This window comes from Homo sapiens, chromosome 6, assembly GCF_000001405.40.
Source record: "Homo sapiens chromosome 6, GRCh38.p14 Primary Assembly".
NCBI classification, from domain to species: domain Eukaryota; kingdom Metazoa; phylum Chordata; class Mammalia; order Primates; family Hominidae; genus Homo; species Homo sapiens.
Genome location: NC_000006.12, coordinates 76,917,363 through 76,945,293, shown reverse-complemented (window position 1 = coordinate 76,945,293; position 27,931 = coordinate 76,917,363). Strand labels below are relative to the sequence as shown.

Sequence of the window (27,931 nt, the reverse complement as noted above, 5' to 3'; positions counted from 1 at the left end):
GAGAAGTTGCTTGATACTGTTTCAATTTTTTCAGTATTTTAAGACTTGTTTTGTGACCTAACATATGGTCTATCTTTGAAAATGATCCATGTGCTGAGGAAAAGAATGTGTATCCTGTAGCTTCTGTATGAAACGTTCTGTAAATGTCTACTGGATACATTTGGTCTATAGTGCAGATTAAGTCTGGCATTTCTTTGCTGATTTTCTGCCTGGAAGATTTGTCCAGTGCTGTAAGTGGGTTGTTGAATTCTCCAGTCATTATTTTATTGAGGCCTATCTCTCTCTTTAGCTCTAATTATATTCGCTTTATATATCTGAATGTTCTAGTGTTGGGTGCATATATATTTAAAATTGTTATATCCTCTTGCTGAATTGACCCCTTTATCATTATATAGTGAACTTCTTTGTGTCTTCTTGTAGTTTTTGTTTTGAAATCTATTTTGTTTGATATAAGCATGATGGCTTCTTCTCTTTTTTGGTTTCCATTATCATGGAATATCTTTTCCCATCCCTTTATTGTCAGTATATATGTGTCTTTATAGGTGAAGTATGTTTCTTGTTGACAACAGATTAGGGTCTTGTTTTTGCATCCATTCAGCCAGTCTATGTCTTTTGGAGAGTTTAGTTCATTTACATTCAGTGTTATTATTGATAAGTTAGGACTTACTCCTGGCATTTTGTGATTTGTTTTCTGGATGTTTTATGTCTTCTCTTTCTTCCTTTTTTCCTTCCTGTCTTCTTGTAGTTAAGGTGATTTTCTCTGGTAATATGATTTAGTTTATTGCTTATTTGTATGTATGCATAGTATGTTTTTTGCTTTGAGGTTACCATGAGGCTTCTAAATACTATCTCATAATCCATAATTTTAACCTGATAACACTATTTGCATAAACAAGCAAGCAAGCAAAAACAAAAAAGATTAAAAACTTTATGTCTTGACTTTATCCCCCTACTCTTTAACTTTTTGTTGTTTCTATTTGTATCTTATTGTACTATGTCTTGAAAAGTTATTGTAGTTATTATTTTTGATTGATTAATCATTTAATCTTTCTACTTAGGACAACAGTAGTTTACACACCACAGTTACAGTAATATTTTATGGTTTTCTGTGTACTTAATAGAACCAGTGAGTTTTTTACCTTCAGGTGGTCACTTATTGTTCATTAATGTCCTTTTCTTTCTGATTGAAGTACTCCCTTTAGCAGTTTTTGTGGGACAACTCTGGTGTAGATGAAATCATTCTGATTTTCTTTGGGAGAGTCTTTACTTCTCCTTCATGCTTGAAAGATATTTTCAGCAGACATGCTCTTCTAGAGTAAAAGTGTTTTTCTTTCAGCACTTTAAATATTGCATGCCATTCTCTCCTAGCCTGTAAGGTTGCCACTGAAAAGTCTGTTTCAGACTTATTGAAGCTCCATTGTACATTGTTTGTTTCTTTTCTCTTGCTGTTTTTGGGATCCTTTCTTTATCATTGATCTTTAGGAATTTGATTATTAAAGGCCTTAAGGTAGTCTTCTCTGGGCAACATCTGCTTGTTGTTCTGTAATCTTCTTATACTTAGATACTGGTATCGTTCTCTAGGTTTGGGAAATTATCTGTTACTATATCTTTGAATGAACTTTCTACCCCTATCTCTTTCTCTACCTCCATGTTAAGGCCACTAACTCTTAGATTTGCCCTTTTGAGGCTGTTTCCAGATCCTGTAAGCATGCTTCATTTTTATTATTTTTTCTTCTGTCTCTTCTGTGTATTTTCAAATAGCCTGTCTTCAAGCTCACTATTTCTTTCTTCTGCTTCATTAATTCTGCTATTAAAGGACTCTAATGCATTCTTCAGTATGCCTCTTACATTTTTCAGCTCTAAAATTTCTGCTTGATTCACTTTCATTATTTTAATCTCTTCAGTAAATTTATCTGATAGAATTCTGAATTTCTTCTAGGCATTATCTTGAATTTCTTTGAGTTTCCTTAACACTGCTATTTTGAATTCTCTGTCTGAAAGGTCACGTATCTCTTTCTCCAGGATTGGTTCCTGGTGCCTTATTCAGTTCATTTGGCGAGGTCATGATTTCCTGGATGGTCTTGGTGATTGTGGATATTCGTCAGTGTCTGGGCACTGAAGAGTTAGGTATTTACTGTAGTCTTCACTGTCTGGGCTTATTTGTACCCATCCTTCTTGGGATGGCTTTCCAGATATTTGAAAGGACTTGGGTGTTGTGATCTAAGCTGTATGTGCTTTAGGGGGCACCCTAAGTCCAGCAACTCTGTTTATTGCTGACTCATAGAGGGACTGCCTTGATGGTCTTGGACAAGATCTGAGAGAATTCTCTGGATTACCAGGCAGAAACTTTTATTCTGTTCCCTTACTTTCTCCCAGAGTGTCTTTCCCTGCTCTGAGCCATGTAAAGCTGGGGGTGGAGTGACACAAGCACCCCTGTGGCCACCACCACTATGACTGCACTGAGTCAGACCTGAGGCCAGCGCAGCACTGGGTCTCACCCAAGGCCTGCTGTAACCACTCCCTAGCTACAGCTTATGTTTGTTGAGGGCCCTGGGGCTCTACAATTAGCCTCAGCTGGTGGCAAAGTAAACCAGGCCTATGTCCTTTCCTTCAGGGCAGCAAGGTCCCCAGGTCCTGGGTGGGTCCAGAGATGCCTTTCTAGAGCCAGAAACTATAGTCAAGAACCTTAGAAGTCTCCCTGCTATTCTATTGTACTGCAGCTGAGTGGTACTCAAACTACAAAACATAGTCCTTCCCATTCTTCCCACCCCTTTCCAAAGGCAGAGGAGTCTTACCCCATAGCCACTGCCACCCCAGACCACTGTGAGTTCAATGACTCACAATTACTGCATTCTCCCTCCTCTAGTGCCTGGAGAGGCACTCTGCATTACTGCCAGACTGGCTAGCCAATGTTCCCATAAGGGCCAAAGTCTCTTAACTCAGCATGTGGTAAATACTGCATGGCCTGGGACACACCCTTCAGGACAGTGGGCTTCTCTTTGGCCCAGGGCAGGTCCATAAATGCTATGACTCAAATCCTGGAATTAGCGACCCCCAAAAGCCTGCTTGTTGCTCTTCACCCCTGTAGCTGTGCTGCTACCTAAGATGCAAGACGAAGTCCCCTTTACTCTTCCCTCTGCTTTTCTCAAGCAGAAGAAATTTTGCCCCATAGGCACCACATCTGGTAATGTCCTGAGTCTCATCTGAAGCCAATAAGTCTCAGATACTCACCCCAGGCCATTAATGTAGTACCTGGGTATAACTGCTGGTTATTCAGGGCCTAAGGGCTTTTCAGTTAGCAGATGATGAATGCTGTCAGGACTAGGGTCTTTCCTTCAAGACAGTGGGTTCCCTTCTGGCCCAGAGTGTGCCTAGAAATGTTGTCTGGAAGCTAGGCTTTGGAATGGAGGCCTCATGAGTCTGACAGGTACCCTATCTTGCTGTGGCTGAGCTGGTATCCAAGATGCAAGAAAATGTCCTCCCTACTCTTCCCTCTTCTTTCCTCAAGCAGAAGGAAGCGGTCTCTTTTGGAACCACAAGCTGGTCAGCCTTGCCTTAGGGGAGAGGTGATGCCAGCACTCCCTTAGCTGCCTTAGCTTGTGTCACAGTAGATCACGTGCCCCTCCCTTCCATCCAAGTTCACTGTCTCTGTGCCTAGTTCAGCACTAGGAGTTGCCTAAGATTTGCAGATCCTAAGGCCTAGACTGCCTTTCAAGTTTACTTGGAGACACAGAGTACTGTAGACCTTGACAGCAAGGATTGACAGAACTCAAGTATCAACTACTAGGATCAGTGATTCCCATCTGGCTAAGGCCGGTTTAAATGCTCCCTTTCTGGGAAGGCATCAGCTGAATTTGATCTGGTTTTCCTTTCTGCTCTAACAGAACAGCACTGAGTTCAATGCCTCAGAAAGCCTGTGTTCTCCCTCTCGCAGCACCCAGAGAGGTTCTCTGCACCACAGGGCCACTGCTGGGGTAGGGGAGGGATAGCCTCAGTGATTCTGGACTGTTCTATGTCTCAGTGCCTCTTTCAGTGATATGAAGTTAAAACTGGGTACTAAGAGTGTTCATCTGATTTTTTGTTCTTATGAAGGTTTTTTTTCTGCATAGCTAGTTGTTAACTTGGTGTCCTTGTAGTGGGAACAATCAGTAGAGCCTTCTATTCTGTCATCTTGCTCCACCTCTCTATGCTGTTGTTTTAAATATAACTATAAAGCAAAGTACTCCTAAAGTAAGAGTCAGTGCCTTGAAAATAAGTACATAATAATTATTGTATTTTAATGTTTTAAATGTTTTACAGACTAACTGAAAATAGCAGAAAATGACAAAAATTTCCTTTTTCCATATCTTTCCTACAATCAAATTCCTCTTGTTCTGTCTTGCAGTGTTTTAGTTCTGTGAACTTTTACTTCCTTTCCTTTTTAATAAGCAGGATCTTTTTCAATTACACTTATTATTTTTTAATAATTACAGATTATCATGGTGTTGTCACAGATAGTACAAAAATATTTCATGTACACTTTGCCCAGTTTCCACAGTGGTAAAACTTTCAAAACAATAGTAAAGCGTCACAATCAGGGTATTTACTTTGATACAATCAAAAGACAGAACATTACCATCACCATATGGATTACTCATTTTTTTCTTCTTTTTATAGCCACGCTAATTTTCCTTTTTCCTCTCCTTCATTCTACTTACTTAAAGCTTGAAAACCAATAATCTGTTCTCCATTCACTATTTTTTTTTAATTTCAAGCATATCATTTAAATGCATTCATGTAGTATATAATATTTGGAGATTGGCTTTTTTTCACTCATCATTTTATTTAGGAATTTATCCAAATTTCTGTGCATTTCAACATTTTGGTCTTTTGTATTGTTGCTTAGTATTGCATCACATGGCTGTTTCAAAGTTTGTCTAATTATTCACCCACTGGAAGACATTTGGATTGTTTCCACTTTGGGGCTATTATGAATAAAACTGCTATCAACATTTATGTATAGGTTTTTCTGTCAAGATAAAATTTTATTTCTCCATTGTATATTTAATTTTTTAAGAAACTGACAGTTTTTCAGAGTAGCTGTACCATTTCACATGTGCCCGTTTCACCACTTCCTTATCAGCATTTGGTGTTGTCACTACTTTTTACTATAATTTTTCTGATAGGTGTGTAGTGATAAACAACTGTGATTTTTATTCGTATTTCTGTAATGGTTAATGATGTTGAACACCTATTCATGTGCTTATTTGTCATCTGTATGTCCTCTTCAGTGAAATAACTGTTCATTATTTTGCCATTTTCTAATGGGATTTTTAAAAATGTGTTGTTTGTTTTTGTTTCTTAGTGTTGACTTTTGATAGTTTCTTATATATTATAAACACTAGGCCTTTGTCAGCTATATAATTTGCAACTATTTTCTTTCAGTCTGTAGTTTGGTTTTTCATTTTCTTAACAGGGTCTTTCATGGAGCAAAAGTACTTTGGTGAAGTCCAATTTATAAAAAATTTGCTTATGTGAATTGTACTTTTGATGTTAAGAACTCTTTGCCTAGCCATAGATTCTGAGGATTTTCTGTTTCTTTCTAAAAGCTTTACAGTTTTATATACTACATTAAGTCTGTGATCCATGTTGAGTGAGTTTTTATATGAAGTGTGAGATTTAAGTCTTAAGTCAAGGTTTTGTTGTATTTTTCTTTTGCCTAGCAATGACCCATGGCTGAAATGGCTTTCAATATTCTAAGAAATTGCTTTTGCACATTTAACAAAAATCAGATACTCCACTCAGAATAAGTGGAGTTATTTCTGAGTTTGCTATTTCTTTTGATCTACCTGTCTATTTATCTGCCAATACAACTAGAATCTTGATAGCTATAGATATATAATAAATCTGGATATTGGCTAAACTATTTATCTCACTTTATTTTTTCAAAATTGTTTTAGCTATTTGAATCATTTGATTTTCCATATAAATTTAAACAATCTTGTCTATATCTACAAAAAACTCTTGCTGAGATTTTATAGGTATTGTAGTAAACCTGTTTATGAATTGGAAGATATTTGACATCTTTATTATTTTGAGCCTTCCAATCCATGAACACTGTACATCTTTCCATTTGTTTACATCTTCCTTGACTTCTTTCATCAGCGTATTCTAATTTTCAGTATGCGAGACCTATACATATTTTGATATAATTGCACCTAGATATTTCATTTTATTTTTAGTTATTTTACACAGTATTGCATCCTTAATTTCAGTGACCATGTTTTCTAATACACAGAAATTAAACTGATTTTTTATGTCTATCTATTTTATGTTCTGTATGTCTTCCAATGTTAGTGGATGCATCTATTTATTCTCAAATGATGTTTATAGATTCCTTGCAATCTAAAAAATCTATGTTTGCCTGCAAACAGGAAGTTTTCTATTCAATTTTTGTATAAAATTATTATTATTTACCTGATTATATTATCCCAGAACTTTAGTGAAATGTTGAACAAGAGTGGAGAGAGCATGTATTTTTGCCTTGTTTTTATCCTAAAGAAGGCTAATTGTCTATTTTTGTTGTTGTTGTTTGTGTTTCTGCTGTCTCAATTTAAAAAGCAATAACCTAATGTAAGGTTATAAATATTTATTTCTGCATTTTCTTCTAAAAATTGTATGGTTTTATTGTTTACATTTCCATCTCTGATCCATTTTGAGTTATGTTTTGTATAATACATTTGATAGAGATTCAGTTGTGTTGTTTTCCATGTGAATATCCATTTCATTTGTCCCAGCATCATTTTGGAAAAGGCTGTGTTTCCCCAATTGTGTTGTCTTGGCATCTTTCTCAAAAATCAATTGACTGTTAATGTAAGGTTTATTTCTGAATTATCAGTCATATTTCATAGATTTTTATGTCTATCCTTATGTCAGGAAATGTTATTTTTATTATTGTAGCTTTGTAGTAGATTTTGAAATCAGAAAATGTAAGACTTTCAACTTTTATTTATCAAGGTTGTTTTGGTTATTCTGGATCCTTTGCATTTCCATATGAATTCTAGGATTAGCCTATACATTTCTGGGGGGAAAAGGCAGCTAGAATTTTGATTGGGTTTGTGTTGAATCTATAGTTCAATTTGAAGAGTATTTAATCGCAAGAACATTAAGTTTTTCAATTCATGGAATAGGATGTCCTCCAGTTATTTAGATATTTCTTAATTACTTTTAGTAATATTTTGTGGTTTTTAATGCTAAAATTTTATACTTTGTCAAATTTATTCTTAAATATATTATCATTTTGATAATTCTGTGAATAAGTTGCTTTCTTAATTTTAGTTTTCAATTGTTAATTGCTAATGTGTGTCTGCAAAATTGACTTTTTATAGTGATCTTGGACCTGCAACCTTGATTAGCTATTTTTTAATTTTAACTTTTTAAATGTGTGAATTACTTAGGGTTTTTTAATATAAATAATCATTTCATCTGTGGAGAAAAAAATTTACTTTTTCCTTTTTTATCAGAATGCCAATTATAATTTTTTATCTTAACTAATTGCTCTGGCTAGAACTCCTAGTGCAATGTTGAATAGAAATAAAAAACAGTAGATGTATTTGTTTTGTTTCTGATATAAGGAGAAAGCATTGTCTTCATTAAATATGATGTTAGCTGTGAGTTTTTCATAGATATACTTAAGATGATGAGATCATTTCTTTCTACTTCTAGTATGTTGAGTGTTTTTATCATAAACACATAATGGATTTTATTAAGTAATTTTTTTTACATCTATTCAGATGATCATATGCTTTTGTTCTTTATTCTGTTAACATGCTATTTTACAATAATTGATTTTCAGATATTAATCCAACCATAGATTATTTTGATAAGTCAAACCAGGTCATGATGTATAATCTGACTTTCTATTTATATTTTTGTCCTTCATTTGTTTCTCAGACTAAATAATCTCCACTGACCTATCTTCTAGTGCGCTGTGCCTTTCTTTTCGCAGTTCAAGTCTGGTTGTGATTGCCTCTAGTGAATTCTCTTTCATTTCAGTAATTATACTTTTCAATTTCTGAATTTTAACTAGGTTCTTTTTTAATAATTTCTATCTCATTGATGTTTGGTGGCACATTATTCTCATACTTGTGTTTAATTACATGTGTTTTTCTTTACTGTTTTCAGGATATTTATTATGGTTGATTTAAAGTGTATTTCAGATAAGTCTAACATCTGGATTTCCTCAGATACACGATCTATTGCTTCTTTTTTGTCTGTGTATGAGCTATACTAATTTCCTATTTTTTACATGCGTCATAATTTTGTGTTAAAAACTAGACATTCAAATATGGATATCTAGTGGCAAATTCAGAATAGTTTTCCACCAAACCAAGATGTGCTGTTTTTATTTGTTGTTGTTACTGTTGTTGCTGTTTGTTTGTATAATGACTTTATTAATTTTGTAAAGTATGTTGTATTCTTTTTCATGTGTGAACACTTATGTCTTTCTTGGCCACTTTATTCATCACCAAATGATTGGACAAAGATTTCCTTAAGTGCCTTGAACAAATAAATCTCCCAACCTTTGTCAAAGGACCCCTGTTTATATTGGGAGAATCTTTCGACACTCCAGTGGACAGTTTACATCTCTAGTTTTGCCTTCACTCCCTGGTTACATCAAGCCTTATCCTCAGCCAGCTGTGAGAGATTAGGGCCCTCTTAGGTCTTTCCTAAGTGTATTCACAACCCTAATCATATGCATAATTTTTTTAGGTTTCCATGAGTGTATTAGTTTTTATTTTTAAGGGTATTTTATTTTTCTAAAACAGCTTCTTGTTAGTCACAACTGGAATCTCCACTGAAGGCAGCTGCAATATTAAGCAATTGCCTCTGATGGGTTGTGCTAGTTGCACAAAGCAAGCTCTGAATCAGCTCAAATAAAGACAAATGTCGACAGTAGAGCTTTTTATGCGACTTTCAGATGGGCTAAATAGTGACAATTTTCTGGGAATGGGACTTTCTCCAAACACATTCTGCCCTTACAGTGACTTCTAGGATGCTCGTTTTCACAACTCCTGTATTTGCAAAGTTATGGTTTTCAAGGCTACGTGGAACTGGAAAGAAGGGAATAAGAATGGGACAAAGTAAAACACCACAAAACTCACTGTTCTTACTAAGATACACACATTTGTCTTGAATAATTATTCCCCAGATTGTTTCAACCCTTGGCTTATTCCTAGAATTCTTTATTTTGAAATTGAATTCTAAAAAAAAAATTGATTTTAACAATTTTTGCAAGTGCTCTCATTTTTTTTATTTTGGAGGAGTAGATATTGGAGGTTTTCATTTTTTTTTATTTCAGATGTGCTTTTGTATTTAGATTATTTTTAATAACAGCCTTAAATATTTGTCAATATTTTCTTAATTAAATCTTGCTTTAAGTTGCTCAACTGCTGCCTATAGAGTAGAACAAAATACCTTAGTTAAATATTCAAAATTTTCAATATTCTGACTCCAACCAATCTTAAAAACTTAATTCTAAATATTTCTTTCTTATATTATACCTAACCCTCTCAGTCAGTCTGCTAAAAATTCACTTATTTACTTCAAACTTTAAAAAAAAGTTTTCTTTAGAAAAGTAAAGATATGTATATCTGGGATGGACTTTGTATCTGCCATCTCTGTATGGCCAAGCAAAGATGCTATCTATTCTATGATCATTTTATTTAATAACTCAGAAAGAAATATTATCTTTTTTAAATTCTTAAAGCAATTATTTTTAACAAATATAATATTTTCAATTATATTCTTTGTCTTTATATGAATTAGTATTTTGTTATATTTCTTCTATTATAAGAAAAGCTCTTAGGAAATAGGATAATAATAATATATGTAGCCTTGGAAATATGTCAGGCATTCAATAACTACTTCCTGAACGATTAAACTGATAATGAATGAATGAAAAAAATATAAATAAATACTATTCTCTTATCACCATTAAATAATTATTTCTAATTTTTATTTTTCACCAGTATTTCCTAATGGCATCTTTTGCATGTAATAACAGGATATTAAATTACTAATCAAAAAAGAAACTATTTTATAATGTATGAGTTGAAAGTTACATTTGTTGGTAATTTCCAAATCTTTGAAAACATTTTTAATGTTTCAAGGGGTGACTGTACAAGGGCACTGACACTGAAATAATTTGAACCAATTTTCTTCTAATATCAAATGCTTATATTTGATATACAGTAGCTAGCATATTAAAAACCTCAGCTTATAATTTGTATACCTAATTTATACTGACTATATCAGTGTTATGGATTCCTAACAATAAACATTCATAATCTATAGGCTGAAATAGATTAGCTACTTTATTTGTTGATTGCAAATATGCATTAAAAAGTCAAAAACAACTATTTTGACAGAATTTTTCTGTATGACGTAGCAGAAAAAGAATATGGATAATACAAATGCATCATCTATCAAATACATAGCCAGATATCACCTAAAAGTACTTGCATTCTGCTAAAAATACACTATTGTCCCTCTACTACGAGAATGAAATCCTGCTTTGGAAAATCCTCTTATCTTTCTCAAGAACCATTTAGTAATTTACTTTTAAGTAATGGAAAGGATATGCTTTAAAGTTTCACTCCTATTTTTATTGCAAAATATAGATAAAGAAATAATATCTTGGCTGGATTAGTAATAAAAATTAATAAAATTGGCTGAATTATTGCTTTGGTGTGACTGATATTAACTTGAGATTTATTGAGATACCCTTGTAATATAATTTAAATTAAAGCAATATAGCTTATTTTGTCAGTTATACTTTCTTCTTTCCTTGAATTTTTCCTTTGAGTAAAAATTTGTTAAGGTTACAGCACAGCTTTTCTATATTTTTCCTCATGATAGGCATTTTCTGAAATGCTTAACATTTTATGAAAAGCAGCCTCATACCAATATTTGTTTTCATAGCCAGTCTCTACAACTGGATGAAAATGCATCAAATCCTTCTGTTCCCCTCATTTGAAGATGTCTGGACATGAACACATGCTCCCAAGAGAATGAACTGAGGATTTGTCTTTATAATCACTGTCTTGATTCCATGCTTCCTATTTCTTCATAAAAGTAGAGAGAGACATTTAAGAGAGAGACATGGAGTTGTAAATATTATTCAAGAAGAAGAACGAATTCTAAAGTCATCCAGAAAACAGTGGGAGCTTCCCAGTCAAAATTGGTGAGCCACAACACAAAGATAATAAAACATCTTCTATCCTTAGAATAACATTATAGATGTATCATATAAAAAAGTAAATCATACTCTAATTCTCTCCATAAAAGGTGTATTGAAAATATGTTTAATTTGTTATGTATTTTAAAATAAATATTATATAGTAACAATGATTTTTGGCTTAGTTAGTTATAACAGCATTTGTTAAATTATGTATCAGAATTAAATGGAATCATGTACCTAGAGATGTTAAGATATATTTCCAAATGTATGTTTGGATCACAGTCAAAATGGAGTTAAATCAAATTAGTAGGCTTTTTGTCTTTGGATTTTAAAATAATACATTTTATTTTTAAGTATATGTTATGAATTCCTAAAAAAGAATTTCCCACACCACACTTATTTTGCTAGAGTCATACTCCTACTGTACTTTTTTTTTTTTTTTTTTTTTGGCTAGAATGCAGTGACACAATCGTAGCTCACTGCAGTATCATACTCCCAGGTTCAAACAATCCTCTTGCTTCAGTCTCTTAAGTAGCTAGGACTACAGGCATGCACTACCATGCTCAGCTAATTTTTCAAATCTTTTTGTAAAGATATGGTCTCACTGTGTTGCTCAGGCTGGTGTTGAATTCCTAGCCTCAAGTGCTCCTCCAGCCTTAGTCTTTCAAAGCACTGAGATTACAGGTGTGTGCCACAACAACCAGCCTCCTATTGTATTCTTATTGTTATCTCATGTATGCTCTTTGAAAAGTAATTTAGAATACATATTTTCAGAATTTTATACAATTTTGCACTGTCCAAAATCTGATGAAGTTAATTATCCTTGTTTTGTTGCATAACCCAATGCAGATGACCATCTCTAAACTTTCTAGAATAGTCCTAAGGAGAGCTGATAAAGAAATAAGAAGACCAGTGCAAAGGCAGGTTCCACAATTAAGAAAATAGCTACAACATGGCATGCTTTATGATTCTAAAAAAAATAAATTGTATAGTAAAAAAACATTTAAACTGATTTATCTTTTAATTTCTTTTGTTTTCTTTCACATTTTTATTATAGTAAGAAAGTTACACAGAAAAGTGGAAAATAATGAAACCCTCCAATGCATGTACCTATTATCATATGCCACTTTTAAAGCTTATGGGGAAGTCAGCTTTACCCAAACCACCTAGACTGAGAGTAAGACAGTGGTGGCCCATTGAGGACAAGGGAATTCTGTTATACCCACAAAGAAGAAATTATGATTAGGAAAAATAAGATATTTTCATGGTAATTATGTTGCACAGAGTTATAACAAATAGAAGTATAAAAAAATTACAACTCTTCCAAATTGCCTGAATTAAAACACACACACACTCATATATGCATACACATCCAAAAACATAGGAAAGAAGAGCCTAATCATTTTTATTGTATAAAAACTCTCAGAAAATAAAAACATAAAAATAACAACAATAGAACAAATAGCCCCTTTAAAAATTGGGTAAAGGATATGTATAGACATTTTTCAAAGAAGACGTACAAATAACCAAAGAGCATATGAAAAAATGTTTAACATCACTAATAATCAGAGAAATGCAAATTAAAAACAAAATGAGATATCATATTATACAAGTCAAAATGGCTATTATAAAAATAAAATAACAGATGATACTTATACACTGTTGGTAGAAATGTACAATAGTACAACCTACATGAAAAATATGGAGATTTCTACCATTCGAATCAGCAATATCACCATTGAGTATTTACTCAAATGAAAATAAATCATTATATCAAAAAGACCTGTGCTTGTATATTTATTGCAGCACTATTCACAACAGCAATGATATAGAAGCAATCTAATTGTCTATCAACAGATTGGATAAAGAAAATGTGGTACACATACACAATGGAATACTACTTAGTCATAAAAAAGAATAAAAGCATGTCTTTTGCAGCAACATTTAATGAAACTCTAGGCCATTATCTTAAGTGAAGCAACTCAGAAACAGAAAAACAAATACCACATGTTCTCACCTAAAAGTGGGAGCTTAATACTTAATGAGTACAATGTACATTATTCAGTGATGAACACTCTAAAAGCCCAGACTTCACCACTATGCAATATATTCAAGTAACAAAATTGCACTTTTGCCCCTTAAATTTATACAAGTATAAAGAACTGCACAATTAAAGCAAAATAGTACAGTATAACAACAAATATAAATGGTGACAACTCATCTACTTAAATTTTGAAAAAAGAAAAAGCTAAGGTGTATTAATCAAATGCTGTGGTTGTGATACTGGAACCAGATAAAGATAATTTAGTATACAAATATGCTGAAAGGTTCAGTCCATTAAAGGTATCAAATCAAACGAAAATTCCACAATAAGGTCTACTTCAGCTAATTAATAAATTAGGAAATATTAATAACAAAATTTGCGAAGTATAAATTTTGTGAACTGAGAGGAGATGACAACAGATAATAATAGGTAATATTTATTCATATAATCATAACAAATCATATAGACAAATCATATAAAAATGTAGGGAATCTGAAATATGTAACCAATAAATCTGAGTAAATATAACTTAATTTTAATAACTTTATAGATAGCAAATTTTTCATGTGTTCACTTTACATATACAAAGTGATTATGTATTAGAACACAAAAAATACATTTTAAATTTTAAATACAGATAATATTTTGACAAAATTAGTTGCTAGTAGAAATTAGTGAAAATATAGGAATAAAAATTCCTTAAGCAACTGGAATTTGAAAACACTTTCTTTACAATTCTTAGGTGAGGAAAGGAAATCAAATTCAGTCAGAGATAGCCAAAAATAATATTAATGGAAAGGCAACATATCCAAATATGGAATGCTGCTAGAGATTGCTATAGAAAATTTGTTATTAAACTGATTTAAACATGTATTAATAAATATAAAGAAATGAAATTACTCAGAATTCAATTCACGAAGTTAGACTAGACAACATAAAACAAAGGATCATGGGGAGAACAAAATAAAGATAATACCAACAAAAACAAAAACAAAATTTGTAAATTAATCCAAAAAATAATCCACCAGAAGTGAAATATGATACTTTTTTTGCCAACCTATGCAAGAAAAAATGTAAATTGCAAAAAAAAAAGTTTAGAAATACGATTTACAGGGGAAAATCATAGATATAGAAGATACTCTGAAAAATTTAATTTTTAAGCAACTTTTAACAATTCTAAAAATGTGTTTGCAAGCAAAGGTCTATTCAAATACACTCAAAAATGTGAATTAATTAAACAATTTTAGAGAGAATGTAAATACCACTAATGTTCTTGTCATCCCAGGGTGCGCTTTAATTTGTTTTACGTCTGTTTTAAGAAGGCTAAAAATGCTTTTAGAGAATTTCTTCTCTCTGAAAACACACAGGTACAGATACACACACACACACAGACACACACACACACACAAATCCCTGTTGATTAATAGATAAATAATTATTTTTAAATTTTTTTTCCAATTTTCAAAATTATAGAAATCAAATACTAATGTAATGTCTCCCCAAAAAATTAAGCCGAAACTCTTCTCAATTTATCACACATTTAGGTGGTACATGTGAATATATTTCACATGCATAGGATGTATAATGATCAAGTCAGAGTATTTGAGGTGTGCATCACCCTCAGTATTTATCATTTCCATGTTCTGGTAACATTTCAAGTCCTCTCTTCTAGTTGCTTTGAAATATACAATATATTGTTGCTAACTATAGTCAACCTAGTCTGCAATCTAACATTAGAACTTATTTCTTCTCTCTATTGGTAAGTTTGTACCCATTCACTAACCTCTCTTTATTTTCCCCTCTTACCTTCATACACTTTCCAGTGTCATTCCACTGTATCTCCATGAGGTGAAACATTTTAACTGTAAGATGGGAATTTTTAAGTGTTTGAAAAGCTAAAGAAGGCAATGTCAAGGGAAGCTGCCACTAACCATCACTGTTTAGCTAGTTAACACATTGCAGAAACTACAGAAAAACACGAGGGATGAGCACAGCTGCTGGAATCTTTGAAACAAGTGATTTTTGGGGAATTTTCTGGAGACAGCTATAGAAGATCAATAGTCCAAATCGCTTGTTTAAAAGTTTATATTTTTCCAAAAATGGTTGCAGTGATATCCCGTTTTCTCCGTACTTTTCTGCCATGCTGCTTTCCACTACTACAATAAGATATGGAATTCTCTATTACCATTGTTATGGACTGAATATTTGTTTCCCTGCAAAATTTAAATGCTGAAGCTCTAAACCCCATTGCTATGGTATTTGGAAGCAATTATCTTTGAATTAGGTTTGGATGTGGTTTCTCTGATGGATGTGTTGATATTGACATCTATATGATTAAGATGAAATATATTAATGTAGCTAGAATTCAGAATAAAGCTAATTACATTTCAAGAAGTAAGAAGAAACAAAACACCTCCCATTTGTTACTCATTATTAGGCCTATATTATTCAAATGATTTTCACAAATGTTCTGAAAATAAACGTACCAGAAAGAAAAGCTTTATCATCCACAGTGATCTCCTACACTATCTTGTTTCCCCTGTTCTCTCTCTGAACTACCTCTTTCTGTAGGTCTAAACTGGAATAGTTAGTGCCATTATTATGACTGGCCTTCCTTTTTTAAATATTCATCCAGTTCAGTGTGATAAGGTTGCAATATTTCTAGAACTTATTTTAAGAGAAATAAGCATTATTTAATAATTTAGAAATGTATCTGTAATTTGCTAACATAAAGACAGACTTTGTAAATGTAAGGTACTAAGCTTTCTGTTTGTGACCCAAATGTCTCTTTGTTGATATAAATACTATATATAATGTAACATATAGTATATATATAAAATATATATACTATATATTATATTATATATTATATATACTGTATATGTTATATATAATATAATACTATATATATAATGTAATATATAGTATATATATAAATATATACTATATATATATATTTTTTCTTTTTTCCAAGATGGAGTCTTGCTCTGTCACCCAGGCCGGAGGGCTGGAGTGCAGTGGCATGATCTTGGCTCACTGCAACCTCCGCCTCCCAGGTTCACGCCATTCTCCTGCCTCAGCCTCCCGAGTAGCTGGGATTACAGGTGTGTGCCACCACGCTCAGCTAAGTTTTTTGTTTTTTTAGTAGAGATTGGTTTCACCATGTTGGCCAGGTTGGTCTCAAACTCCTGACCTCGTGATCCACCCACCTTGGCCTCCCAAAGTGCTGGGATTACAGACATGAGCCACCTCATCCGGCCAGTTGATAAATATATTAAAACTTGTATTCATGTTTAAGTTGAGATCAGTCCTGACATGTTTTCTGAGAGAATGTTTATTCCTATCTAGAATATATTTTTTATCCTTCTCTTAGACTATGAATCTCCTCTACTTGATTTATTCTCAATGTTACTTTGAGTTTTTAAAAAACAAAATTAACAAAGTTTGTTTGCCAGTGGCTGCATTTAGATAGTCAATTGTTTTACTATTTGGAATCCCTAGCTTACTTGCCTTTAGGTCTCTGGTCCTATAAAGAATTAAAACAGAAGGCTCCTGATTAATTTGAAAGGCAAATGCTTGTCATTGATATATGGCTACAGACACTTTTTTAGCTCCTGAAGATATCTCTTACTTTCTTTTGAGTTTGGCTATGTATGTAAACAACATTTGCTATATTACCTCTAGCATTTCGAAGTTTTGAGTTGAGAGGATTTTCAGGACATTTGACCTGTCATAAGGCAGAAATAGAGTCTTCAATTAATGTTTTATTAATTTGCTCAAACACATCAAATTGAGTTGCTATTGTGTTAGGAATACCTTTAGCACTATGATTCAGCCATGATGAAAACAGACAAAAATCTCTGCCCTCTTAAAATATGCAATCCAGTGGGGGTGATAAATATGAAAAAAAAAAAAAACGTACACATAAGAATACTTGGGCATTCTGGTGGGACTTCTGGGTGGAGTGATCAGAATGTGCAAAGGCCCTGTGAACAGAGTGTGTCTGGCATGTTTAAGGCCCATCTAGTTTTCTAGAGCAAGCAAGAGGTGAGTTCAGAGAAGACCTGGGGTGAATAGGGTTATGACCATGCATAACCTTAGAGATTATTTTAATGACTTGGACTTTTGCTCTATGATGCAGAGCTATTCAGGGGATTTATGCAGAGAAATGACATGATCTGACTTCAGTTTTAGCAAGATCACTTTTAAGAATAGCTATGATATGACATTGCCTTATGTATTAGTGAACTTAAGACCATTTGACATGAATACCAAAAGTATAGGTTTGGAGGTCACATTAATTGACTACTGTTGACAACTAAATTGGATAATTTGACTTCCAACATAGAAATTTTGGCTTCAGTTTTTCTAAATTAGATGTACATTTTTATTAATTTAATTTTGTTTCTCCAAGCTTCTAATGTACATTTTGTGATTACTATCTGAGTCCTTGGTCTCTCCAGTTCTCCAAAATTGAGTGTAGGTCAAGTAAGAAGCAATAAAAATGAGATCTCTATGTAAAAGTAAATCTGTACTAGATTTCAAAGATGGATTCTATAAGCAAAACCAATTAAAACTGTGTTTTACAAATCAGGATTCAAAATGTTTTAGTAACTCTATCTTTCATAAAATCTTTATTCCTAAATTCTGTCAAAGTACAATTCAAAATACAGTAATCCAATGTCTGGAATAAAAGCTAAATGAGGGAAAAATGGCATACAAAGGAACTAGAAAATGCTGCATCATTTTAATTTGCTTTTACAACCTTCCACAATGACCTTTCCTTGAATATGGCAGCATATTCTAGCAAACAACTAAATTTTACTAAAATCAATAAAATGACCTACCTCTAACTTTTAAAGCAGCAAGACAAATGTCATATTTTATATTTATATTCAATTACCCGTACCTAAAAATATAAGATGTGGAGTTTAAATTTGACCATTATGACCTCCATAATGCAATTTTGCACAACCCCATCTTAAGATATTATCTCAGATTTCTTGCTGGAAACCAAAGGATTATCAGAAAGAAGCTTAAATAATTATGGGAATGGGAAGAAAAAAATTAATAAAAACCTATAAAGGTAGCACTTGAAAGCATAAAATTCAGACTCTGGAAGAAAATAAGTGCTCAAAAATTATTTGAACATAATTTTAACTAATTTCTCTAAGAATCAGATAAACATCTATAGGGTAATCTATTAATATATTAATTTTGTGTATTACCTATATCACCCATGTTATAAGACATTTTATAACTCATTGTCTTAGAGAATTTTGCTGTTCAAAAAGCAGAATTTATTTCAAAATATTTTCATTTCTGAGTTTCATTTTTCTAGAGCTTGAGTCCTTGCATGGATTGTGCTAGGAGTACCACAAGGAAGACAAAGGGCAGAGTACCTCTAAGAAGCAGAGAGGTAGAGGTAAGATTCATTCAGCCTCAAGAGGGTAGATCTGTCTGTCCCCTCTTGGGACCAGCACCTGCAAAGGTAGGACACCAAGAAGCCTAGACATTAGTTTAGGGGTTTCCAGGGTCACTAAAGATGGGGTGTTCCTTGTAGTGGTCCAGAGAAAGCAAACACATTGTATTGAATATTCTTGGCAATTGAGCCCCCATTAGAGGAGTTTCCTTCATACCTTAGTGACTTTTATACAACTGTAGGGTAGCAGAAATCCCAATGATAACTAAAATTTAATGCCCATTGATTTATATAAGATGTTAACTTCGATTCCTTTCAAGTAGATGAACTAACTTGAGCTGATTTTTTCACAATTAATTCTGAAAAATTTGGGAAGGAGAGTAAAGCATGGAACCCAGTAACTACCACAGTCAACTAGATAAAACAGAAAGAAATCTTTTCAGGTGACCAAAGGTGCCTTACAATCATGGTGGAAGAAGAAGCAAACTCATCCTTCTTTACATGGTGACAGGAGAGAGAAGTGCAGAGTGAAGGAGGGGAAAAGCCCCTTATAAAGTGATCAGATCTTGTGAGAACTCACTCACTGTCATGAGAACAGCATGGAGGTAATCGCCCCCATGATTCTATTACCTTCCACTAGGTCCTCCTGTGACACGTGGGGATTATGGGAACTACAGTTCAACATGAGATTTGGGTGGGAACACAGCAAACCATATAACACTCATAATGTCCAGGCTGATAGTCAAATCAAGCACACAATCCCCTTTACAATAGCCACAAGTAAAATCAAATACCTAGGAATACAGCTAACCAAGAAAGTAAAAGGTCTCAACGAGAGATCAGTATCATTAACATGGTCATACTATCCAAAGCAATCTACAAATTTAACAGTATGCTTATCAAACTACCAACATCATACTTCACAGAATTAGAAAAAAAATTCTAAAATTCACATCGAACTAAAAAAAAAGAGCCCAAATATTCAAAGCAATCTGTGTAGTCCATTTTCTCATTGCTATAAACGAATACTTGAGACTGGGTAATTTATAATGAAAATAAATATAATTAGTTCATGGTTCCACAGGCTATACAGAAAGCATGATGCTGGCATCTGCTTGACTTCTAGGGAGGCCTTAAGAAACTTACAATCATGGTGGAAAACAAAGTGGGGGCAGGTACTTCATATAGCAGGAGCAAGAGTAAGGGGAGGAGGTGCTGCACACTTTTAAACAACCAGATCTCATGAGAACTCACTCTCACAATCATAACACAGTACCAAAGAGATGGTTGGTGTTAAACCACTGATTAGCAATCTGCCCCCATGATCTAATTACCCTCCACCAGGCCCCACCTCCAACTTTGGGGATTACAATTTGAAGTGAGGTTTGGTGGGAACACAAATCCAAACCAGATTTTTCCACCCCTGGTCCCCTAAATCTTACGTTCCACTCACATTGCAAAATATAATCATGCCTTCTCAATAGTCCTCTAATCTTAATACATCTCAACATTAACTCAAAAGTCCAAATTCAAGTCTCATCTTAGACAAGGCTAGTTTATTCAACCTATGAGCCTGTAAAAATCCAAAAAAAATGTTTGTTACTTTCAAGATACAATGGGGGTACAAGCGCTGGGTATACATTCTCATTCCAAAAGGGAGAAATTAGCCCAAAGAAAGGAGCTACAGGCCCCATGCAAATCCAAAACCCAGCAGGGCAGCTATTAAATCTTAAAGCTCCAAAATAATCTCCTTTGACTCTGTGTCCCACATCTAAACCATACTGGTGCAAAGGTTTTGCTCCCAAAAACTTGGGCAACTCCACCTCTGGGCTCTGCAGGATTCTGTCCCCTCAGCTACTATCAAGGGCTGGTGTTGAGTGCCTGCAGCTTTTCCAAGCTCAGTGTGCAAGCTGCCAGTGGATATACCATTCTGTGGTCTGGAGGAAAGTGGTCCTCTTCTTACAGCTCCACTAGGCAGTGCCCCAGAGGGGACTCTAAAGCAGCTCTAACTTCACATTTCCCCTCCATGCTGCCCTAGTAGAGGTTCTCCATGAGGGCTTTGCCCTTGTAGCAGGCTTCTGCCTGGACATACAGGCTTTCCCATATATCCTCTGAAATCTAGGCAGAGGCTCTCAAGCCTCAACTCTTGCACTCTGTACACCTACAGGCTTAACACCATGTGGAAGCAGCCAAGGCTTACAGCTTGCATCTGAACCAGCAACCTGAAGTGTACCTGGTGATCTTTTTAGCTACAGCTGATGCTAGAGCAGCTGGGATGCCATGAGCAGTGTCTTTGGGCTTTGTAGGGTAGCAGGGCTCTGGGCCTGGCCCAGGAAACCATTCTTCTTTCCTAGGCCTCTGGGCCTGTGATGGGAGGCACTGCCTCAAAGGTCTCTGAAATGCCCTCAAGGCCTTTTCTTCATTATCTTGGCTATTAGTACTTGGTTCCTTCTTACTTATGGAAATTTCTGCAGCCTGCTTGAATTTCTCCCCAGAAAATGGGCTTTCTTTTCTACCACATAGCCAGGCTGAAAATTTTCCAAACTTTTACACTCTGCTTCCCCTTTAATTATAAGCTCCAACTTTAGGTCATTTCTCTTCTCATGCATATGAGCATAGGTTGTTAGAAGCATCCAGGTCAATATTGAGCACTTCGCTGCTTAGAAATTTCTTCTGCCAGATTCTCTTAATCATCACTCTCAAGTTCAAGGTTCCACAGGTCCCTAGGGTAGTGGCACAATACAGCCAAGCCCTTTCCTAAAGCATAACAAAAGTGACCTTTGCTGCCATTCTCAATAATTGCCTCATTTCACTCTGAGACCTCCTCGGCCTGGACTTCACTGTCCACATCACTATCAGCATTTTGGTCATAATCATTTAACTAGTCTCTAAGATGTTCCAAATTTTCCCTTATCTTCCCCTCTCTTCTTCTGAACTCTTCAAACTCTTCCAATCCTCCCTGTTACCCAATTCCAAAGCTGCTTCCACATTTTCAGGTATCTTAATAGCAATACCCATCCCTAGTAACAGTTTTCTATGTTAATCTGCTCGCTCATTGCTATCAAAAAATACTTGAGACTGGACAATTTATAATGATCCTCTCTTTGGATCCTCAAAGACCTTTGGAAGTTTGATTTCTGTGTTTCTTTGTGTAGTCTTATTTGGTTTGAATCCATTTGGTATTCTCTGACCCCCATTTACCTTGGTATTTTTATCCTTCTTAAGTTGGGGGAAGGTTCCTATTATTATATCTTTGAATAAGCTTTGTACCCCTTGTTCTTGCCTAAGTCCATCTTGAGTACTAAGAATTCTTAGATCTGGTCTTTTGAGGTAATTTTCTATATCTTTTAGGTGATTCTTGTTCCTTTTTCTTTTTTCTCCTCTGTAAAAAAAGCCTGTGTCAAGCTCACTGAGTCTTCTTTCTGCTTGATTTGTTCTGCTATTGAGAGTCTCTAATAAATTTTTCAATTCAGTAAATGTATTTTTCAGTTCTGGGATTTTTGTTTAATATTTAAAATTATTTTAATCTATTTTTTAAATTTCATAGATAAATTTATGAATTGGTTTTCTGTGTTATCTTGGAGATACTGTGTTTCCTTAAGACTTCTATTTTGAATTCTTGGTGAGAGAGTTTACATACCTTTGTCTTGTTCGAGTCTATCACTGGTTTCTTGCTTTGTCCATTTGGGGAGGTCACGGTTCCCTGTTCGCTACTATGAATGTATATGTTTCATATGAACGTATCTGTATGACTTTGCATTGAATGATTAGTTATTTATTCCATTCTTCTCTGTCTTGTTTTGGTTTTTATTGGGTATGTTTGCTTAGATATTGTTTGTAATTTACCTGTTGATTTTCTTTCTTTTTTTTTTAAATTCCATTGGTTCACTGCCTCCTTTTTGGCACTAGATGGCTACTGAAGCCTTGCCTCTAGCAAATGATTAGAGTACTGCTCATACTGAATGGGGGTCTTCCCAAGGTGGATATTCCTAGCAGTGTGGGGAGGCTAGCTATAGATTTGTGCCAAAAGGACCTGTGGAACGTACCTCCTATAGCAAGTAGCTGCTGAACAGTCAATGACATTTGGCATCTCCTTTGGAAGAGTTGCAGAGCACAGTTTCTAGGACTAGGGTTGGTAGTGCCACTTGCCTCCTCTGTCTTAGGCTGTCATCAGGAACATTACTCCATTCAGGCACTGGCAATTCTTCCCATAGAGTCAGGCAGGAACAGGGCTCCTGCCAGGGAACCCATGATGGTGGGGAAGCTAGTTTTCCACCTCAGTTGTGCTTTTTCCAGTGCAGAAACCATGAGTTGGGAGAAATTTTTCTATGTACTTCATGCTGGGCTTGTTGAGAAAAGGGTTGTTGTGGATAGGAAAGTCTTGTTTTCTGACAAGCTATTTGAAGATTGTTTACTTCTCTGTAGCTCTGGGAAATGGTGCACTCTCCTATTTGAATTCTGAGATATTGCTGGTGATAATTCCATCACTGTACATTTGGTTTTGGATTTCTGTGTGAGAGGGTAGAGCCAGCTTGCTTCTAAGCTCTGATTGTGGAACAAGACTCCCCACCTTTTTTAGCTACTTTGAATAAAGCTGCTATGAACATGAAGGTACAAATACTTATTTGAGTTCCTGCTTTCAGTTCCTTAAAGCATATACCCAGAAGTTGAATTCCTAGATTATATGGTAATTGTATTTTTGATTTTACAAGGAATTGCCACATTGTTTTCCACAGTGACTGCAATATTTTACATTCCCACCAGCAATGTATATGGTTCCAATTTCTCCATATCCTTGCCAAAAACTGTAACCTGTTTTGTTTTGTTTAATACTAGCCATTCTAATAGGTATGAGGTGGCAGCATTACTTTTAAAAAGTAAATTTTTATCTCTCTCATTTGGTATACTTATCTATCATATTTTGAATTTCTGTAGGATTTGAGTCCATTTCGGAACTTTCCTTTTTTTTCTATTGATCTGTCTATTCATTGGCCAGTTACCACTTTATTTATTGAGGCTGGTAGTATGGGTCATTGTTTGATAGGGCTAGTCTTTTCTCACTAATGTTCTTTTCCCAAGTTTTCCTGATTATTTAACTTCTAATATAAACTTCAGAATCAGCTTTTATAATTTAAAAAAGTTGGCATTTTTACTGAATTTTAAAAAGAAGTTATCTTGGGAAGAATATGCACTTTGCAGAAGCTGATTGTTCTTAAGGTAATGATATAGCTTTCTATTGATTTATATCTACCATTATGTCCAACATAAATATTATAAAGATTTTTTTCAAAGAAGTCTTACATATTTCTTGTAAATTCACTCCTAGGTGTTTTGACTTCTTGGATTGCCATTGTAAATATTGGAATGCCTTCTGTTATATCTTCTGACTGGTTTTTGAGTGTATACAAATATATATATATACACATATATTATATATATTATATAAACATACACACATATACATTCATACACCTATATAAAATTATGTTAACAAATGCATATGTAATTTATGTATAAATATTAAGGAAATATTTGTTAATATTTTAAATGTTTTTTTCTCTAGAGTGGGTATTGAATGTTTATTAAGTGCATTTTTATTCGATATGAGGCAAATTATAAAATTTTCTATTTCACTGCATTAAATATAAAAATATATTATTAAGCATTTCAATTATGAAACATCTTCGCATTTCTAAAAAATCCACATACCATGGTATTTTATTATACAATGTGATGTTGAATTCTATTAATATATGCAAATATCTAACAGAATTTTTGCATAAATTGATCTATAGTTTATTTTAGAAATTTTGATATCAATGTATTTGTATTATAAAAGCAATCTCGGAGTTGGGATTTTAATTTATTTTTTACTTTTTTATACTCTGAGAAGGCTTAGCAAACATCAAAATCTTATCTTTGTAAGTTTAGTAGAAGTGGCTGTGGAAGCATGAGAATCCAGTTCTTTAGAAGAAAGAGATTTAGCTCTTTTGCAACTTTCCCTTTCTCTATTGCAGAAATTATAAGTTTTAATCTGTTTTATAAAACAAAGTCTGTTTTAATGAATTCCATTTTTTCTCAAAAATTATCCATTTCATTCAAGATATTTTTACAGATTTGTGCAAAGTGGTGTTTTATTATTATAAATTTTTATCTCAGTTTCTGTGATTGTTTTCCCCATTGGTCACTTCTATTGTGCTGTGAGTACCTTTATTTATTCCTTAGTTAAATCAGCTAATGATTTAACTATTTTACTGACTTCCAAAGAATAAAGCTTTAAAAATTTGTTCTATCATTTTTCTAATAATATTTTTATAAAATATTTTGTTTAGTATATTTTGTTTTTTAACATTTCAAAATCAGATGCTTAATTTACATATGTATGGATAACATCAAGTTTAATTTGTAACAATACATAAGAAAATTTAATATTATGAATGTTCCCATTAGTATTATTTCATCTGTACTTTCATTTGTACTTACATGCAAATCTTATGATATTAATTGAACCTCTCCTGTATCAAGAATTTCTTAAGATAAAGTTTTAAAATCCCTTGTCAGGGAAACTATTTTTTCTAACTTTTAAAACTTTAATTTCTATTTTTATTAAGCTGTGATCCAAGAATATTGTATTTATTATTTTTATTTATTTGGAATTTGTTAAAGTTGGCTTGTGTGTTTTTTTTTTTCATAGTTGGTCCATTTTATGTACGTTTTATGGGCAGATAAAAAGAAGGTATAGGCTTTACGCCTGTAGTCCCAGCACTTTGGGAGGCCGAAGCTGGTGGATCACGAGGTCAGGAGATCGAGACCATCCTGGCTAACACGGTGAAACCCCGTCTCTACTAAAAATACAAAAAATTAGCCGGGCGCGGAGTCAGGCGCCTGTAGTCCCAGCTACTGGGGAGGCTGAGGCAGGAGAATGGCGTGAACCTGGGAGGCGGAGCTTGCAGTGAGCTGAGATCGCTCCACTGCACTCCAGCCTGGGAGACAGAGCGAGACTCCATTTCAAAAAAAAAAAAAAAGTAAAATATTAAATATATATTCCTCAGATTTATCATATTGATTTGAATGTGTAAGTATTTGATAATCTTTTTTTGTTCATTTGATCTGTCTTGGAACGTGACAGACTCAAACCTTCTAATATTAGTGTTGTGTAATTTTTTTTTATCTCTTGTAATTTCTGCTTAATAAAAATTATTGTTAAATTACTTGGCATAAAGATAATTACAAATGTTACATTTATATTATGAATCTTACCTTTTGGTATAATAATTTGTGTTTTTCTTATGTAATGAGTTGTAGCCAAAATTTTACCGTGTCTGGTAGAGAAAGACCTCTGCTTCGTTTTACTCCATTTTACTGAAATACAGCTGTCCAAAATTTTATTTTAGCATTTTGAAATAATTTTGTTTACTGTGACACTTGTATAAACAACACAGTTGTCACTTGCTTTGTGATACAATATGAAATATTTTTATTTTAATAGGTTAATTAAACCTATTTACAGGTATTGAATCACATTTCATTGGCTTTCTCTCTCTCACACATTATATAATTTATAATTTTTTTACAGTTTTAAGATTTTCATTGTCTTGTCTGCTTACATTGCTTTGTGTGTGTGTGTATGCTTGGCTTCTTTCTTGGTGGTAACCATAATATTTTTATTGAATGGAATCTTAGCATCTTTTTAATTTAGACAATTAATTTAGATAATTAGATATTTAATTTAGATAATTCTTATTTATTCCCCACTACAAGCAAAAATAAAATTTTTGTCTCCTTTTCTTTTATTACCCAATTTTATTCAATAATGTTATTCATTCTATTGCACTCTAAATTTCTACTGCTGTATTTATTAGGTTTAATTGATGCTGTTTGACTGTTATTAAAGATTTAGAAATTAACTGTACAATTTGACTTAGCCTGTCTTCCTTTGTTTTTATTTCTTCTTTGTGGAAATATAGAACATTAGGGTGGGGCAAAAGTAATTGCAGCTTTTGCAATTACTGTTATTTTATTTTGTCACTCTTAAGCTTTACTTGTTCTTGTATTTCAGCTTAAATACTCAATGCTCTGCAGCATTTTTACATTTTTTGCTGAGGTTTCCTCAAAACATCTGTTCAGCTGAATTTTGTTTGAAACCTTTTCCAGAAGAACCTATATCAACAATATTTCCTTAGTCCTCCCTCTCCTCCTCCCTTTGGACTTTATACCTGAAGTACATTAAATAAGTTGAGGAAGAAAGAAGAGCAATGGAAGTGAGAATGTGAATAAGAATACCTACAATAATAATGTGACATAAGCTGTAGTTAGAAAAGTATTAAATGCTACACTTGATAAACACCTGAATTTTGGACATGAAATTCATACGCACTAAATATCATCATTCTAGACAATCTTTTAGGATCCAGGGATGAAGTAAAACTGTCTATGTTAATCTATTTTAAATGATGCTACTCTATGAGTTGTAATTACAGGCTGTTTATTCATTCAACTATTTACTCTGCAACAACGTATGCCAAGCACGGTTCTTTGTGCAAAGAAAATAGACAACAATTTTCGTCCATCTGGAGCTTACGGTTTCGTTAGTTCGAAGTATTTGTGCTTCAGAATATATCTTAACCTAATCTTTGGACATTCTGTTTTTCTGAGTCTGTGATAGGCACTGAATTTTAACAAAATTTGTTTATATTTCTGCAACGTCTTTTAGTTATAGAGAACTACATATGTCATTATTTGGCTCACTAAGTACTGTGTTTAAAAGAACAATAATGTCAATTGTGTTTATCAGGAAATATATCAGTCAATAACTAAAATATAGTTTACAAATAATGATTAAGATTCATAAGAACCATAAATATTGGAGCTAGCTTACCTGAATTAGCCAAGAATTTAATTAACTCTAATTCCTTACAGCTCTTAGGTATTTTATGTAGTAACATGTTCTTTTGCCTTCAAAAGGCAAAGGAACATTGTTTTTAAGTTGAATTGGAGATTAAGCAGACTTGTTTTACATGAAAATGTTCAAATTCTATTTATATATTCTACAACAGCACTTTATGTACATCTGTATCTTAGTTCTTGCTATATGCTACTGAAATTGTCTATTTCTGAGCCCAATTCCCCATCTGGAATATAAACTCTTTCATGGATACGGATGTATTATCCCTTCATCTTTATATCTACTATGCTCATTAAAGGATCTGGCACATCATAAGACCTTTAGTATATGTTTTCTGCC

General features: G+C 33.6%; 2 long non-coding RNA genes across 2 annotated transcripts in view; one reads left to right on the top strand and one right to left on the bottom strand.

Annotated features, from left to right (window-relative positions):
- Positions 1 to 27,931, bottom strand: part of LOC105377862 (uncharacterized) — a 322,839-nt gene that overhangs the window by 152,495 nt on the left and 142,413 nt on the right. The window lies entirely within an intron of this gene.
- On the top strand, positions 495 to 27,907 carry LOC124901345 (uncharacterized). The gene is made up of 2 exons (XR_007059651.1): positions 495 to 11,224; positions 26,747 to 27,907. It is a non-coding gene; the product is annotated as an uncharacterized LOC124901345 (long non-coding RNA).